At 46.4% G+C, this 14,557-nt stretch overlaps 1 annotated feature.

The window, feature by feature from the left end:
* Positions 10,621-11,121: an enhancer, noted in NCBI's record as "H3K4me1 hESC enhancer chr5:5536038-5536538 (GRCh37/hg19 assembly coordinates)". NCBI's record gives its function as "activates a minimal SCP1, AML or CMV promoter by ChIP-STARR-seq in primed H9 embryonic stem cells {active_cell/tissue: H9 hESC(primed)}" and the evidence as "EXISTENCE:reporter gene assay evidence [ECO:0000049][PMID:30033119]".

The raw sequence follows: 14,557 nt of genomic DNA on the forward strand, positions 1-14,557 counted from the left end.
TCTTAAGAGAATGTACTAACACAATGCACTAAGTCATTTGCCATTTGCCCAGTGAAATGAGTTTTTTCTCCTATGTCTTTTCCGATAGTCTTTCTGCTACATCTTTGCCACAGACTGCTGGGCTTTGGAAGCAAATAAGAGAACCTCTGCAAAATTGCTGTAAGCAATTAAGAAGAGACTTCTAATTCTGCTAATGGGAGACTAGATAATGAAGACTAGTCTTCCTACCAGGAACAATTAGAAAAACTGAACACAACATAAAGAAAAAAAAAAAAAGCTCATCTATCTGTTTAAAACTTTGGAGAACTTCCAAGACAGCAAGAACTCGAAGGCCAACTGATGTGGTTTGGTGCTGTGTCCCCACCTAAATCTCACTTTGAATTGTAGTTCCCATAATCCCCATGTGTCATGGGAGGCACCCAGTGGGAGGTAATTTAATCATGGGGGCAGTTACCCTCATGCATTCTCATGATAGTGAGTGAGTTCTCATGAGATCTGATGGTTTTATAAGGAGCTTCTCCCCCTTTTGCTTGGCATTTCTTGCTGCCACCATGTGAAGAAGGACATATTTGTTTCCCCTTCCACCAAGGTTGTAAGTTTCCTGAGGCTTCTCCAGCTCTGCAGAACTGGAGTCCATTAAACCTCTTTCCTTTATATCTTGCCCAATCTCAGATATTTCTTCTTAGCAGCAGGAGAACATACTAATACAGTAAATTGGTACCGAGGTAGTGGGGAGCTGCTGTAAAGACAGCCAAAAATGTGGAAGTGACTTTGGAACTGGGTAACAGGCAGAGGTTGTAACAATTTGGAGGGCTCAGAAGAAAACAGGAACAATTTGGAGGACTCAGAAGAAAAGTGTGACACTTCCTAGAGATTTGTTGAATGTCTTTGACCAAAATACTGATAGTGATATCAGCAGTGAAGCCCTGGCTGAGGTGGGCTCAGATGGAGATGAAGAACTTGTTGGGAACTGGAATAAAGGTGACTCTTGCTATGTTTTAGCAAAGAGACTGGTGGCATTTTGCCCCTGCCCTAGAGATCTGCGAAACTTTGAACTTGAGAGAGATGATCTAGGGTATCTGGCAGAAGAAATTTCTAAGCAGCAAAGCATTTAAGAGGAAGCAGAGCTTAGAAGTTTTGAAAATTTGCAGCCAGATGATGTGATAGAAAAGAAAAATCAATTTTCTGGAGAGAAATTCAAGCCAACTGTAGAAATTTGCATGAGTAATGAGGAACCGAATGTTAATCACTAAGACATTGGAGAAAATGTCTTCAGGGCATGTCAGAGACCTTTGCGGCAACTCCTCCCATCACAAGACTGGAGGCCTATGAGGAAAAAATGGTTTTGCGGGCTGGACCCAGGGCCCCCTCTGCTGTGTGCAGCCTAGGGACTTGGTGCCCTGCATCCCAGCAGCTCCAGCCATGGCTAACAGGTGACCAAGGTACAGTTCAGGACATGGTTTCAGAGGGTGCAAACCCCAAGCCTTGGCAGCTACCAGTGTTGTTGAGCCTGTGGGTGCATGGAAGTCAAGAATTGAAGTTTGGGAACCTCTGCTTAGATTTCAGAGGATGTATGGCAACCCCTGGATATCTAGGCAGAAGTTTGCTGCAGGGACATAGCCCTCATGGAAAACCTCTGTTAGTGCAGTGCAGAAGGGAAATGTGGGGTTGGAGCCCCCACTCAGAGTCCTCACTGAGGCACTGCCTAGTGGAGCTGGGAGAAGAGGGCCACTGTCCTTCAGGACCCAGAATGGTAGATCCACCAACAGCTTGCACCATGCACCTGGAAAAGCTGTAAGCACTCAACACCAGCCTGAGGAGGCAGCCAGGTGTGTGTGTGGGGGGGTGTACCCTGCAAAGCAACAGGGCTGGAGCTACTCAAGGTTGTGGGAGCCCATCTCTTGCATCAGCATGGTCTGGATGTGACAAGGAATCAAAGTAGATCATTTTGGAGCTTTAAGGTTTGGCTGCCCCACTGTATTTCAGACTTGATGGGGCCTGTAGCCCCTTTGTTTTGGCCAATTTCTCCCATTTGGAATGGGTGTATTTACCTAATGCCTGTACCCCCATTGCATCTAGGAAGTAACTAACTTGCTTTGATTTTACAGGCTCATAGGCAGGAGGTACTTGCCTTGTCTCAGATGAGACTTTGGACTTGGACTTTTGGGTTAATGCTAGAATGAGTTAAGACTTTGGGGGACTGTTGGAAAGGAATGATTGTGGTTTGAAATGGGAGAACATGAGATTTGGGCAGGGCCATGGTGGAATGATATGGTTTAGCTCTGTGTCCCCACCCAAATCTCACCTTGAATTGCAGTTCCCATAATCCCCTTGTGTCATGGGAGGGACCCAGTGGGAGGTAATTTAATCATGGGGGCAGTTACTTTCATGTTGTTCTCATGATAGTGAGTGATTTTTCATGAGATCTGATGGTTTTATAAGGGGATCCCCCCCTTTCACTTGGCACTTCTTGCTGCAGCCATGTGAAGAAGAACGTATTTGCTTCCCCTTCCACCATGATTGTAAGTTTCCTGAGGTCTCCCCAGCACTGCACAACTGGAGTCAATTAAAACTCTTTCCTTTATAAATTGCCCAATCTTGGGTATTTCTTCACAGAAGTGTGAGAATGGACTAATACCCCAAGATTATGGGAAGGCGATTACAGTGAAGAAACCCTGACATTAGGTGCCACTTTTTCCTTCAGGGCATTTGTAGTAACCAAATTTTGAGAATCTGAACAGAGCTCTCAGCAGGCTCCCAGACCTGGAAAAACAAATATCAGATATCAGAGACCACTGTGAAAAAGAGGTTCTGGGAAATACCCCATGCTTTCAGTTGGAAATCTTGCAGAATAACATGTAAGAGTAAGGATTAACCATAAATGGAACAGGCCCCAGAGAGACTGAAGCCCAGCTGGGAATCAGCTCAGTCCTCTTTTGGATTAAGGTCATCTAGCCCTACCCTGACTCCCCTTCTAAAGCAAAAGTAAGTGTTCCCCAGAGAATGATAGCATAGATCAGTCCCTCACATGATTTCTAATTTTCCATACATAATGTACTAAATAAAGTTAAAAATAACAGATAAAAACAGATAAGAATAGACCAAAACCAAACAGAAAATACTAGACAACAGGAACAGAAGCGCAGGAAATCCAGATATCAAAATTATCAGAAATAGACTTTAAAGTAACTATGATTAATATGCTCAAGAATTAAAAGTCAAGTTGGAGAATTTCACCAGAGAAAAAGAGAATAGGTGAAAGACAATGAAAAGAATGAACCATAGAAAAAATAAATGATGAAAAATGTGGCAAAGAATAAAGAGAAATATTCACAAAAATGAAAGGTCTAACATTCATAGAATTGAGTTCCCAAAGGTGAGCAAACAGAGTCAACAGCAGTCTTAAAAGAGATAATGGCTGAAGATTTTCTTTTTAAAAAAATATTTACCTACATGTTTATTTTATTTTATTTTATTTTAAAAACTTTTATTTTTGGTTCAGGGGTACATGTGCAGTTTTGTTATATAGGTAAACTCATTTCATGGGGGTTGTTGTATAGATTCTTTAATCACCAAGGCACTAAGACTAGTACCGAAGAATTATTTTTTCTGAGCCTCTCCCTCTTCCCACCCTCCACTCTTAGGTAAGCCCCAGTGTGTGTTGCTCCCTTCTTTGTGTCCATGTGTTCTCATCATTTATCTCCCATTTATAAGTGAGAACATGCAATATTTGGTTTTTCTGTTCCTGAAATAGTTTGCTAAGGGTAATGGCCTCCAGCTCCAACCATGTTCCTGCAAAGGACATGCTCTTGTTCTTTTTTATGCCTGCATAGTATTCCATGGTGTATATATACCATATTTTCTTTATCCAATCTGCCATTGATGGGCATTTTGGTTGCTTTCATGTCTTTGCTATGTAGAATAGTGCTGCAATGAACATATGCATGCATGTGTCTTTATGAGAACTATTTGTGTTCTTTGAGTATATACCCAGTAATAGGATTGCTGGGTCAAATAATAGTTCTGTTTTTAGCTCTTTGAGGAATCATCATACTGCTTTTCACAATAGTTGAAATAATTTGCACTCTTACCAACAGTGTATAAGCATTCCCTTTTCTCCACAACCTCACCAGCATTTGTTATTTTTTGATTTTTTAAAATTATTTTTAATTTTTTAATGTTTTATTTTTTTTTTGAGATGGAGTCTAGCTCTGTCGCCCAGGCTGGAGTGCAGTGGTGCGATCTTGGCTCACTGCAATCTCCCCTTCCGGGTTCCTGCCATTCTCCTGCCTCAGCCTTCCGAGTAGCTGGGACTACAGGCACCCGCTACCATGCCTGGCTAATTTTTTGTATTTTTAGTAGAGACGGGGTTTCACCGTGTTAGCCAGGATGGTCTCAATCTCCTGACCTCATGATCCACCCGCCCTGGCCTCCCAAAGTGCTGGGATTACCAGAGTGAGCCACCGCGCCCAGCCTTGACTTTTTAGTAATAACCATTCTGACTGGTATGAGATAATTATCTCATTGTGGTTTTGATTTGCATTTCTTTAATGATCAGTGATGTTGAGCCTTTTTTTTTCATATACTTGTTAGTCACTCGTATGTCTTCGTTTGAAAAATATCCATTCATGTCCTTTGCCCACTTTTTAATGAGTTTTTTTCATGTAAATTTAAGTTCCTTATAGGTGCTAGATATTAGACTTTTGTTTGCAAATATTTCCTCCCATCCTGTAGGTTGTCTGTTTACTTTTTTGATAGTTTCTTTTGCTGTGCAGAAGCTCTTAAGTTTAATTAGATCTCATCTGTCAATTTTTGCTTTTGTTGTGATTGCTTTTGGTGCCTTCATCATGAAATCTTTGCCAGTTCCTATATCCAGAATGGTATTGCCTAGGTTGCCTTCCAGGGCTTTTATGGTTTTAGGTTTTACATTTAAGTCTTTAATCCATCTTGAGTTAATTTTTGTATATGGTGTAAGGAAGGGGTCTAGTTTCAATCTTCTGCATATGGCTAACCAGTTATTCCAGCACCATTTATTGAATAGGGAGTCCTTTCTCCATTGCTTGTTTATGCCAGCTTTGTTGAAGATCAGATAGTTATAGGTGTGGGACCTTATTTCTGGGCTCTCTATTTTGTTCCATTGGTCTATGTTTCTTTTTTTGTACCAGGACCTTGCTGTCTTGGTTATTGAAAAATGGCTGAGAATTTTCAAAAACCAATGCCAAGACATCAATTCCCAGACACAAGAAGCTCCTTAGCAATTATCACGTTGTGATATTTATCAAGCTGTATACCCCTCAACTCTGATTTTCCTGTGTGTAGGTCATGCCATAATAAATTATTAAAAATAAACAACTGCAAAGCACTGGAAAAAGAAATAACTAATGGTGAATAATAAAAGCAAAATGATTCAAAGTGGTATGCATGATACAGTGGCATAGAAACTCTAGGGCAGATGTAAGATATAATGGCTGTATGTCAAATGCTTTTTTTTTTTTTTTTTGAGACAGGATCTTGCTCCATCATCCAGGCTGGACTGCAGTGGTGTGATCATGGCTCACTGCAGCCTCAAATTCCTGGGCTTAAGCAATCCTCTGCCTAAGCCTCCAGAGTAGCTGAGACTACAGACAGGCAAGTGCCACCATGCCTGGTTAATTTTTTTTTTTAATTTTGTAGAGATGAGGGTCTTGCTGTGTTGAGCAGTCTTGTTTTAAACTCCTGGCCTCAAGTAATCTCCCAGTTTCAGCCTCCCAAATTGCTGGGATTACAGGCATAAGCCACAGTGCCTGGCCTAAAATGCAACTCTTTATCAAGTAGTGGAAAGATTAATGGCTTTCAAGTCAGCTAGATTGAGATTTAAATCCCAAGTAGGTATCTCACTAGCTCTGTGACCTTGGGCAAGTAACTTAACCAATTTCTTATCTTAAAGAAAGATGAATACTTCTCAATCCATAAACTGAACTCCCTTGTTCCTCTCTGTCTGCATCTCACTTCCTTGGCAAGGCCCCAGTCCTCTGGCCATGCTGTCCCTTCCCTTGTGCTGTGGGAGGCTGGACAGAAGAACACCATTGTGCTGACCCTGCTCTTGTTAAATTTGTGGCCACTGACAGCCCTGAGAGCTGCCTGGCCATCATGTTACATGTATAGATCACTGTCTGACACCTTCTCCTCTCTCAAAACCTGCGTCAACTCTTCCTTCATCCTTGTATCAGCTGATTTCTTTGCTTCTTTAGTTTCATGGAGGAAATCAGAGTGATCAGAAAAGAATTGCTGCCAGCTCCCTCCCCGTCATCCACCCACCTCCCCCAGCTGTGCCGACTCCTCCATTTCCTCTCCTGTTACTAAGGATAAATCCTATCCCCTCTCGGCTTCTCAAGGACATCACTCTGGTAATTCTCCTCTCTCTCCTTCGTGATCAATTTCTCCCTCCCTATTGGGTCATTTCCATCAGCAAATGAACATGCCATTATTTCTTTCCGTGTTGCAAAATGACCTTCCTTTCTTTCCACTTTTCGTTGCAGCAGCTGCCCTCGTTTTGCTCTCAATGTGACTCAAATCAGACCTTTGTTCCTACCGCTCCTGGGATCTCTGGTCAAGGTCACAGGTGATAGGCCCAAGGTTATATCCAGGGGTTAATTCTAAGTGTTCCTCCTTCCCCCAGCAGCAATGCCCAAAGCTGGTCCTCCTTTTTTGTGAAGCATCCTCTTTACTTGGCTTCCAGAACACACAACTGGCTTTTCCCCTTTAGTCTCCTTTGCAGGGTTCCTTCTGTTTTCTTTAAACCTTGATATGCCTCAGGTTCTATCCTTGAATGTCTTTCTTTCTCTATCGATGCTTTAAGTCTCTTGGTTTTAAACACCCTAGATTTGCTGTTGCTTCTCAATTTATATATCTAGCCATGATCAACATCCTGAACTCCAGACTACTGTATCTAACTTCCCATACAGCATCTTCAATTTTAAGCCTAACAGGTGTCTGAAATTTGCTATGTCTGATCTAAAATTTGCTATGTCCGGAACAAAACTCCTGATCATCCTCTTGCAACCTGTTCCACTTGCTCTTGTTATCACAGTCAATGACAGCTCCATCCTTCCAGCCGCCCAGGGTCAAGACCATGGAGTGATTGCTCAGTGCTTTCTCTCACCCTCTCTATCCTGGTTCTCAGTATATCCTGAGAGCTGTACCCCAACCCGTATCCCGAATCCAGCCCCACCTCCCCAGGCCCACCTCTACAGCCCTGGGCTGAGCAAGCATTTCTGTCACTTAGGCTTGTGCAGTGCCTGCCTGGTCTTCCTTCTGCTCCTTGCTCCTCACCCATTTCAGCCCAGCAGCCAGGAGGGTGTTAAAACATAAACCAGGTCACCCCCTTCCTTGGCTGTTGCACCTTTGAATTTCCTGTCTCACTTGGAATGAACACAGATGTTCTAACGTTGAACCACGATGCTCTGCAGTACCCATGCCCTCCCTGACTTCATTCTCTGTGACCCTTCCCTGACTGACTCTGCTCCAGCTTCTCCAGCCCTGAGTCTCCCTGCTGGTCCTCAGCCCTGCCAGCTCTGCTCGTGCCTTGGGACCTGGGCTCCACTCGCCCATCTGTCCGGGATGCCCCCCAAGGACGGCATCAAGGCCGCCTCTACCCGCTTCTCCTTCCGTCTCCACATGACCTCCCCTCCCAGTGATACTTCCCTGCCTACTGGTTCTCTTTCCCTGCTTTACTTTTCTCCTGCCCACCTTCACATGTAATACATGATGGAGGTTTAAATTTATGTTGTTTATCATCTCCCCTCTCCTGCTAAAACAAGAAATTTGTCAGGGTGGGCGTTTCCTCTGGTTGGCTGCAGGCTGGAATTCCAGGGAAAGTGCAGCACACAGCAGCTGCTCGGGGAGTGTGTGTTGAGGGATGAAGTGTGGCTGCAAAGTCCTGGCCTTAGAAGGCACCCATGGGGTTCCCTCCTCTCCACTCTCCATCTCTGCTCACAGCATATCCACAGGAGCTGAGTATGGTGGGCTACAGTGACTGATGGTCCTGACTCAGCGCTTCCCCCATCCCGACCCCAGTAGGAAGTGTGGCAAGCACCAGTGTCCAGCCTGTGTCATGGCAGCAGTGGCTCTGTGGGGAGGTCGGGGGCGCAGTGTCAGCAGACACTCAGTGGCCGAGCTGGGACTCTAATGGCCAAATTGGCAAACTGAGAAATGAAACGTGTTTCCCTTGGGCTGTTGAGCAGGGGCTCCTCACTGTCAGCACCGTTCTGCTCACCCAAGCCAGAGACCTGGGCTATGATGTCGAGGGCTTACCTCCAGAAACATCAGAGTGGTTGGGGCCATGGAACCCACCTGATGTGACCTATGGGCATGGGCCGGTGCCCTCTGCAGGAGAAAATCCTTCCTCCACTCTGTGCCCAGGATTGCAGCTGACCCCTTGACCCCTGCACACTGTGGGCCTTTGTTTGTCCACATTGGAAGCAAAGCCTGCTTTGGTCTACATGGACATTTTCTAGTTAAAAATTTAATAGAGCCTCAAGGTCCCACAGTTAAACATGGTCTAGCCTTTTCATTTCACCTGCAGGAAACTGAGGCCCAGAGAGGTGACAATGTGCCCAGTGCGAAGAGGACCCATAGAGCTTGGCTTCAATGCCCGAGCAACTGACTCCCGTTCCATGTCCTTCGGGTGCTGCTCCTGGCTGTCTCCCTGATCTTTCTAGAAAGCAGGTGCATGCAGTGTAGTTGGTGTGAGATGCAGCTCCTTGGGAAGCTGATGGCAACTCCCGCACTACTGCACCTGCCACAGGAGCCGCCTCCCCAGCCCGCCTGAACTGGCAGGTGTTTGAGGCTCAGCATGCTGAGACCACGTGGTCACTGGCACCTGGGGCCAGCAATCAGGCAGCCCAGTGAGCCAGGAGCTCCAGCTGTGGTCCTGGGCCCCCACCTACAGCTCCAGGGCAGGCTGGATCCAACTCCCTCCGTTGGCGCCAGCTTCTGTGGCAGCCTTTCCTGCCTTAGAGAGTGCTTGGCCAGCATCAAGCTCTCCATGCGTGGGGAGAGGGGAGGGGTCTGCAGCTGAAATGGCAGCTCTGTTACTAAGTGGATATTGTGGCTGTTGGAAACAATGCTGATGGGGTGTGCCCAAAGCTGGCCATGTTTAGGGGATTCAGGTGTAGAGGGCATTGTGTGAACACTGCAGGATCAAACAGTTGGCTGAAGACCTCAGCTCTGCCCTTGACTTCCTCATCGTATCAAGGTGTCACTCCACCTTGCTCAGCCACAGTTTCCTCATTTGCAACAGGTAATGACAGACCCACCTCTGGGCTGTCGTGAGGTTTCACTAACCTGACCAAGGTGTGTGCTCAGGCCTTTGTGACATTGTGACATTACCCTGCAGTCATGAACACGTAATCACTGGAAGCTGATTTTGATATCTATTATTGCACATTGGCAAAGACTCTCTCTTTGACCAAACTTTAGACAGGTGCCTCTGAGCATTCTTTTCCACCAGCCCTGTCCTCAGGGTGTCTTAACAAAGAACCCTGCTAAGCCAGCCCCCACGGTGATACCTGATCCCCCCCCACACCCCTGCATTCAGCAAGGATCCAGGTAAGCTGGCTTAGCAGGTACTCCCTACCCTGATGTCTCCTCTTACTAATTTCCATCCACGGACTGAGCCCCTGGCACTGCTCCTTGGCCACAGAGCCCAACCTGGTTTTGTATTTGGAGCGGAGCTCAGCTCCATACTGAAATCTCCTTTCCCTGGTTGCAGCAGCACTGAATAGAATCTGTCTTTAGCCCCGTAGACTGTGTCCAGCTCTGTTTCTCCTTGACAAATGCCAGGTCCTGCTTTCTCTTCAGTTGTTCTTCCGGGAATTATGTGCATATTGGAAACACTGTAGAAGCACAAACTGGGGGAAAAGAGAAAAGAGAGAGGAGGGCAGCCTTCCTGATTCACAAAGGAGCAAACAGGGCTTGTCCTGAATGGCTGTTCATGTTGTATGATCACCTGAATACTGTACAAAATTTGGACTGTGGACAGGGGCAGCCTCAGGGGCAGCCTTCTGCCTGAGCCTGGAGACTCCTTCTTCAGGATGTTGGGAGACTGGGGTGGTGGGAGGCAGGGAGGCTAGGGGCTGGGGAAGCTGATGGAAGACGCCATCTCTTATGTAGAGTGCATGAAGGGGTCACCCATGGCTTCACTCAGACTAAAGCTGTTCATCCCAAACCAAGTCTACTTCCTTTGTGAAGAGCTCCGAGGTGCCAAGGGCCTCCCTCCACTGTCCACACTCACTCGAGGTGGAGGCTGTGGTGGGTACGGACTGGGGGAGGTGGGGTAGGCGTGGCCACGACATAGCCTGCACTGGCACAGCTCTCACCCAGGGAGTTCCTCCATCTTAGATAACTATTTTGTTTTGAAATATAGATTTGTTCCTCCCAGAAGTCTAAAGCCAGGCACTGTTTAGCCTGTGGCAGAATCTCCTTTAGCCGCTCTGTGGCACCTCAGTCTGAGGGCTCCGGGGAACCCTGACCGAGAACACTGCAGCTCCAGGTGCAGATGGGCACCTCTGTCTTCCGAGGGGAAGGGGGCTAAGAGTATGTGGCCAGGACTGGCTGCGGTTTCTTAACTGTTCTGGATAGTCAATCTTCGCACTTGGAAAAACGAAAGATACCATCAGAAATAGTAGACACTTTTCTCTGAGAATCTCAGCCTCCAAACATGGAAACATTGCCTCCTCTGTGAAATTGTTTGGTCACTGACCCTTGTGACGGTGTGTGAGGGTGGAGGGCCAGGGAGGGGAAGAGATGCTGCCATTTACACACCTTTGTGCTCTGTGCACAGTCAGTGTGAGGGTCTTGTTAGCAGCTAGGAGTGCCAAGATGCGGCAGAAGCTCTGCAGGCACCGACAGCCGAGGGGAGGAGCAGACAGACAGACATTTCTACCTGGCTGTGCCGTGGGCTGTGATGAAAGGTGCCCTGGTTCTGGGAACCCCGAGGAAGCCACATGACCCAGCCTAGGTCAGGGCAGGAGCGACGAGAGGCTTTCTGCAATCAGCCCTGCATGTGGTCTGATGACACTGAAGCAAGAGCACAAGCAAGAGCATTCCAGCCCTCACTCTCGAAATAAAGACAAAGGATCAAAAGCACACCAAATGAAACATGCTGCCCTGGGCTTGGGTCTCCACATGTCCAGGATCATTAGTGTGATTTTGGATGTTCCAGATGAGGCGAGAGGTGGTAGGCAGGGCCTGATTTGGGAGAACGGTGAGAATCAGGCTCAGAGGCTCAGACTCTCCAGCTGCAGAGGAGCCTCCACTCCCGAGCAGGCGAGGGAGGTGAGCAGGTCTCTGCTTTGAGAGGACCCTCCAGCTGCATTGCAGAGGACAGACAATGGACAGCAAAGAAGGGAGGCCAAGGGGCCCATCAGGGCCTCAGCCAAGGCCAGGCTCTATGAAAGGGAGAGAAGGTGGAGAAATGGGTGTGATACTCACCAGACCACTGTGGGGGGATGGGCATAGAACCAGGGCAGTGCCCAGGAGGACGAGGAGGCCGACTTAAGCTGGCTCGCTGCTTCCACAGGTGGGTGCTGTCAGTGGAACTGGGTCTTCCAGAAAGATCTGTTGAAGTCCTAACTCCCAGTACCTGTGAATGCAACCTTGTTTGGAAATAGATCTTTGCAGATGGGATCAAGTTAAAAATGAGGCCGTACTGGATTAGCGTGGGCCTTAATCCAAGAACTGGTCTCTCATAAGGAGAGATGCAAAGGGAGCAGGAGGCACAGGGAGAATGACAGGGGACAGCAGGCAGCGATCTGCATGATGCAGCCGCAAGCCAAGGAAGGCCAGGATGGCTGGGAGCACTGGAAGCCAGGAGCCAAGGGCTCTTCCCCAGGGCCTTTAGGGACACTGACAGCACCTGGATGGCATAGTTCTGGCCTCCAGAACTGCAAGAAGATAAATTTCTGTAATTTTAGCCTCTCAGTTTGTGGAACTTTATTCCAGCAGCAACAGGGAACTAATACATTTAGCTTGGAACAGCAAAGAAAAGGCATGAAAGGAGGAAGGTGTGGGGGTTCCAGGAAGCCTCACGCACAGGGAAATACAGCAGGGCTGCGTTCAAGGCTGAGTGGAGAGGGCCGTGAGTGAGAGAGAAGCTGTGGGGAGAAGAGGGAGATGGATGGAAGTGATAACAGAGGCAGCGGTGGCCTTAGACATGAGGTGAAAATTCCAGAATCTCCACTAAATGCCATTTACCGTCAGTGAAGGACATCCCCGGCCTTTGAAAATCCAGGCTGGATGATGAAAGACACGCGGCTTTCTGGAAGCCCTCTTGAGAATGAAAGGAAGGCATCCGTGTCAAGGTTGACAGAACGCATGGAGCTGCACAGCAGAAGGAGTCAGTGTCTGTCAGTTCCGATGCCCCAGTGACCTCCCTTGAGGATGTGTTGTTTAATCCACTGCCACAGCTTCTTCCATTCACAGATTCAGAGGGTACTCAGCTGCTCTGTGACTGTGAGTTCCTGGAAGGGAGCTGAGTCTGTGGAATCCATTCTCTAGATGACTAAGGGGCTTTGGACTAGTTTCCTAGGACTGATATAACAAAGTGCCACAAACTTTATGGTTTAAAACCAAGGAAATGGGATTCTTTTACAGTTCTGGAGGTTGGAAGTCCAAATCAAGGTGTGGGCAGGGCCATACTATCTCTGAGAGCTCCAAGGAGGGGCTTCTTGCCTCCTCTTGTTTTGGGGGGTCACTGGTGGCTCATGGCATTCCTTGGCTTGTAGACACATCACTCCAATCTCTGTCTCTGTCCACACGTGACATTCTTCTCTGTGTGTCTCTGTGTCCGTTTTCCCTTTTTATTAGAACACCAGTGTTTGGGTTAGGACCCAGCCTAATGCAACATGACCCCATCTTAACTAATTACATCTGCAAAGACCCTATTTTAAAACAAGATTATACTCTGAGGTTCATGGTGGACAAGAATTTCAGGGAGACACTCTTCAGCCTGGAAGAGACCTCATAAGTATTTAACTTCGTTCACGTCCTGAGTCCTGACACCCCTCTGCTCCGCTCACCTTGCTGGTCTCATTTGCCCATTTTGTAATTAAGACATTCTTAAGTGTCTGCTCTAGCAGAGGCCTTGTAAAAGGGGTTTCTTCTGTACTATCCAGTTCCATGTCCACCTTTCCTACCAAGGACAAAAGCTGAATTAAAAATTGCATTTCACTTGTAAAAAAAAAATACTTCCATAAGGCGTGAATGGCTTTTGTGGTAAGAGTCATTTGAGAATGGTAAAATGTGAGTATATACCTAGAAGTGGAAAAAAAAGAGAGAATGGCAAAACAACTAAAGAGATGGCAAAGTTATGTCTGCACCCACGCAAACCAGTTTTGAAAAAATAAAATTATTCATGAGCAATCAGTAACTTGGAAATATGGGGGTTTTTTGGGGTCTAATTGGGTATAGAGATCACATTAGAAACCCAGTGACAATATATGTTTTCTATATATTACCTATCTTTTATAGAGTCATGAAACCTCATCTGTCACAGGAGTAGAGAAAAAAAAAAGTCATGAAAACTGAATATTTTAGGAACTTGAATGTTTTTTCTTAGCAACCTCATTGAACACATAACCTCTCTCCCCGGCTTGGTATGAAAGATGGCTGGCTGTGCTCTGCTTCCGCCTGGAATGGAGTTTCTCTGTGGGCATTTGTCTTTCAGGTTTCTCCCTGAGAGCACTCACAGAGGCTGGCGTGTTCCTTATTGTTTTTTAAGCACCATTATCCATTTGCATCTAACATCCATTGCTGTTGTGTTGGATCTACTAGGCGCCGGCCACTTAAGCCTTTAAGTGTGGCTAGAACGTCTTCTCTGACAGAAGGAAAACCTACCATATCACTTCCGCAGATGATGGGTTTTGCTGTTCTATTCATCTTGCTGTGTTTTCACGTTTTAATAATTGTTTTGTTTATATTTCTCCTACAGACATGTTCTCGTGTTTATAATGCAGGACCAAATCTTTCCTTGGCAGCCTTAGAGCTTGGTGGTCTTGCATTCAACATCCCCCAGCATCGCTTTCCAGGGGCTGTGTGACAGTGGCGGTTCCTGCATCCCAGCAGGCTTTGTCCTTGCCTTTCTTTTCTGTACTGATTCAAAAAAACAGAACTATTCAAGTATTTTATTGTAAAATTAGGAACATATAGCTTGCTTTTTTTCAAGAATATTCTCTTTTCAAAGGAACGTAAGATTAAGGTGCACACATCTGCAGTCTGTAAAAGGCCTTGAGGATACATCTTTTCAATAAAAAGATTGTCTTTTTATTTGCTTTGATTAAAAACAGCAGCATTCCCTGCTGCCAAATAACTCACCTGGGTTTCATCTCACTCATCACTATCAATGAGCGGAAAAGGCATGCATCACAATGAGCTTCATTCAAAACATCAAGGCAAAAGAGTCTCAAAAAGGATCCCTGTGGGGTGTGAGTGGGTTGCATGTTCAAGATCACAGGCAGCCAATTTCTTAACATCTTTATTCTCAGCCATCTGGTCAGACTGCCTCCGGGGACAAGGAGGC

The sequence above is a fragment of the Homo sapiens genome, chromosome 5, assembly GCF_000001405.40.
Source record: "Homo sapiens chromosome 5, GRCh38.p14 Primary Assembly".
Taxonomy (NCBI): Eukaryota; Metazoa; Chordata; class Mammalia; order Primates; family Hominidae; genus Homo; species Homo sapiens.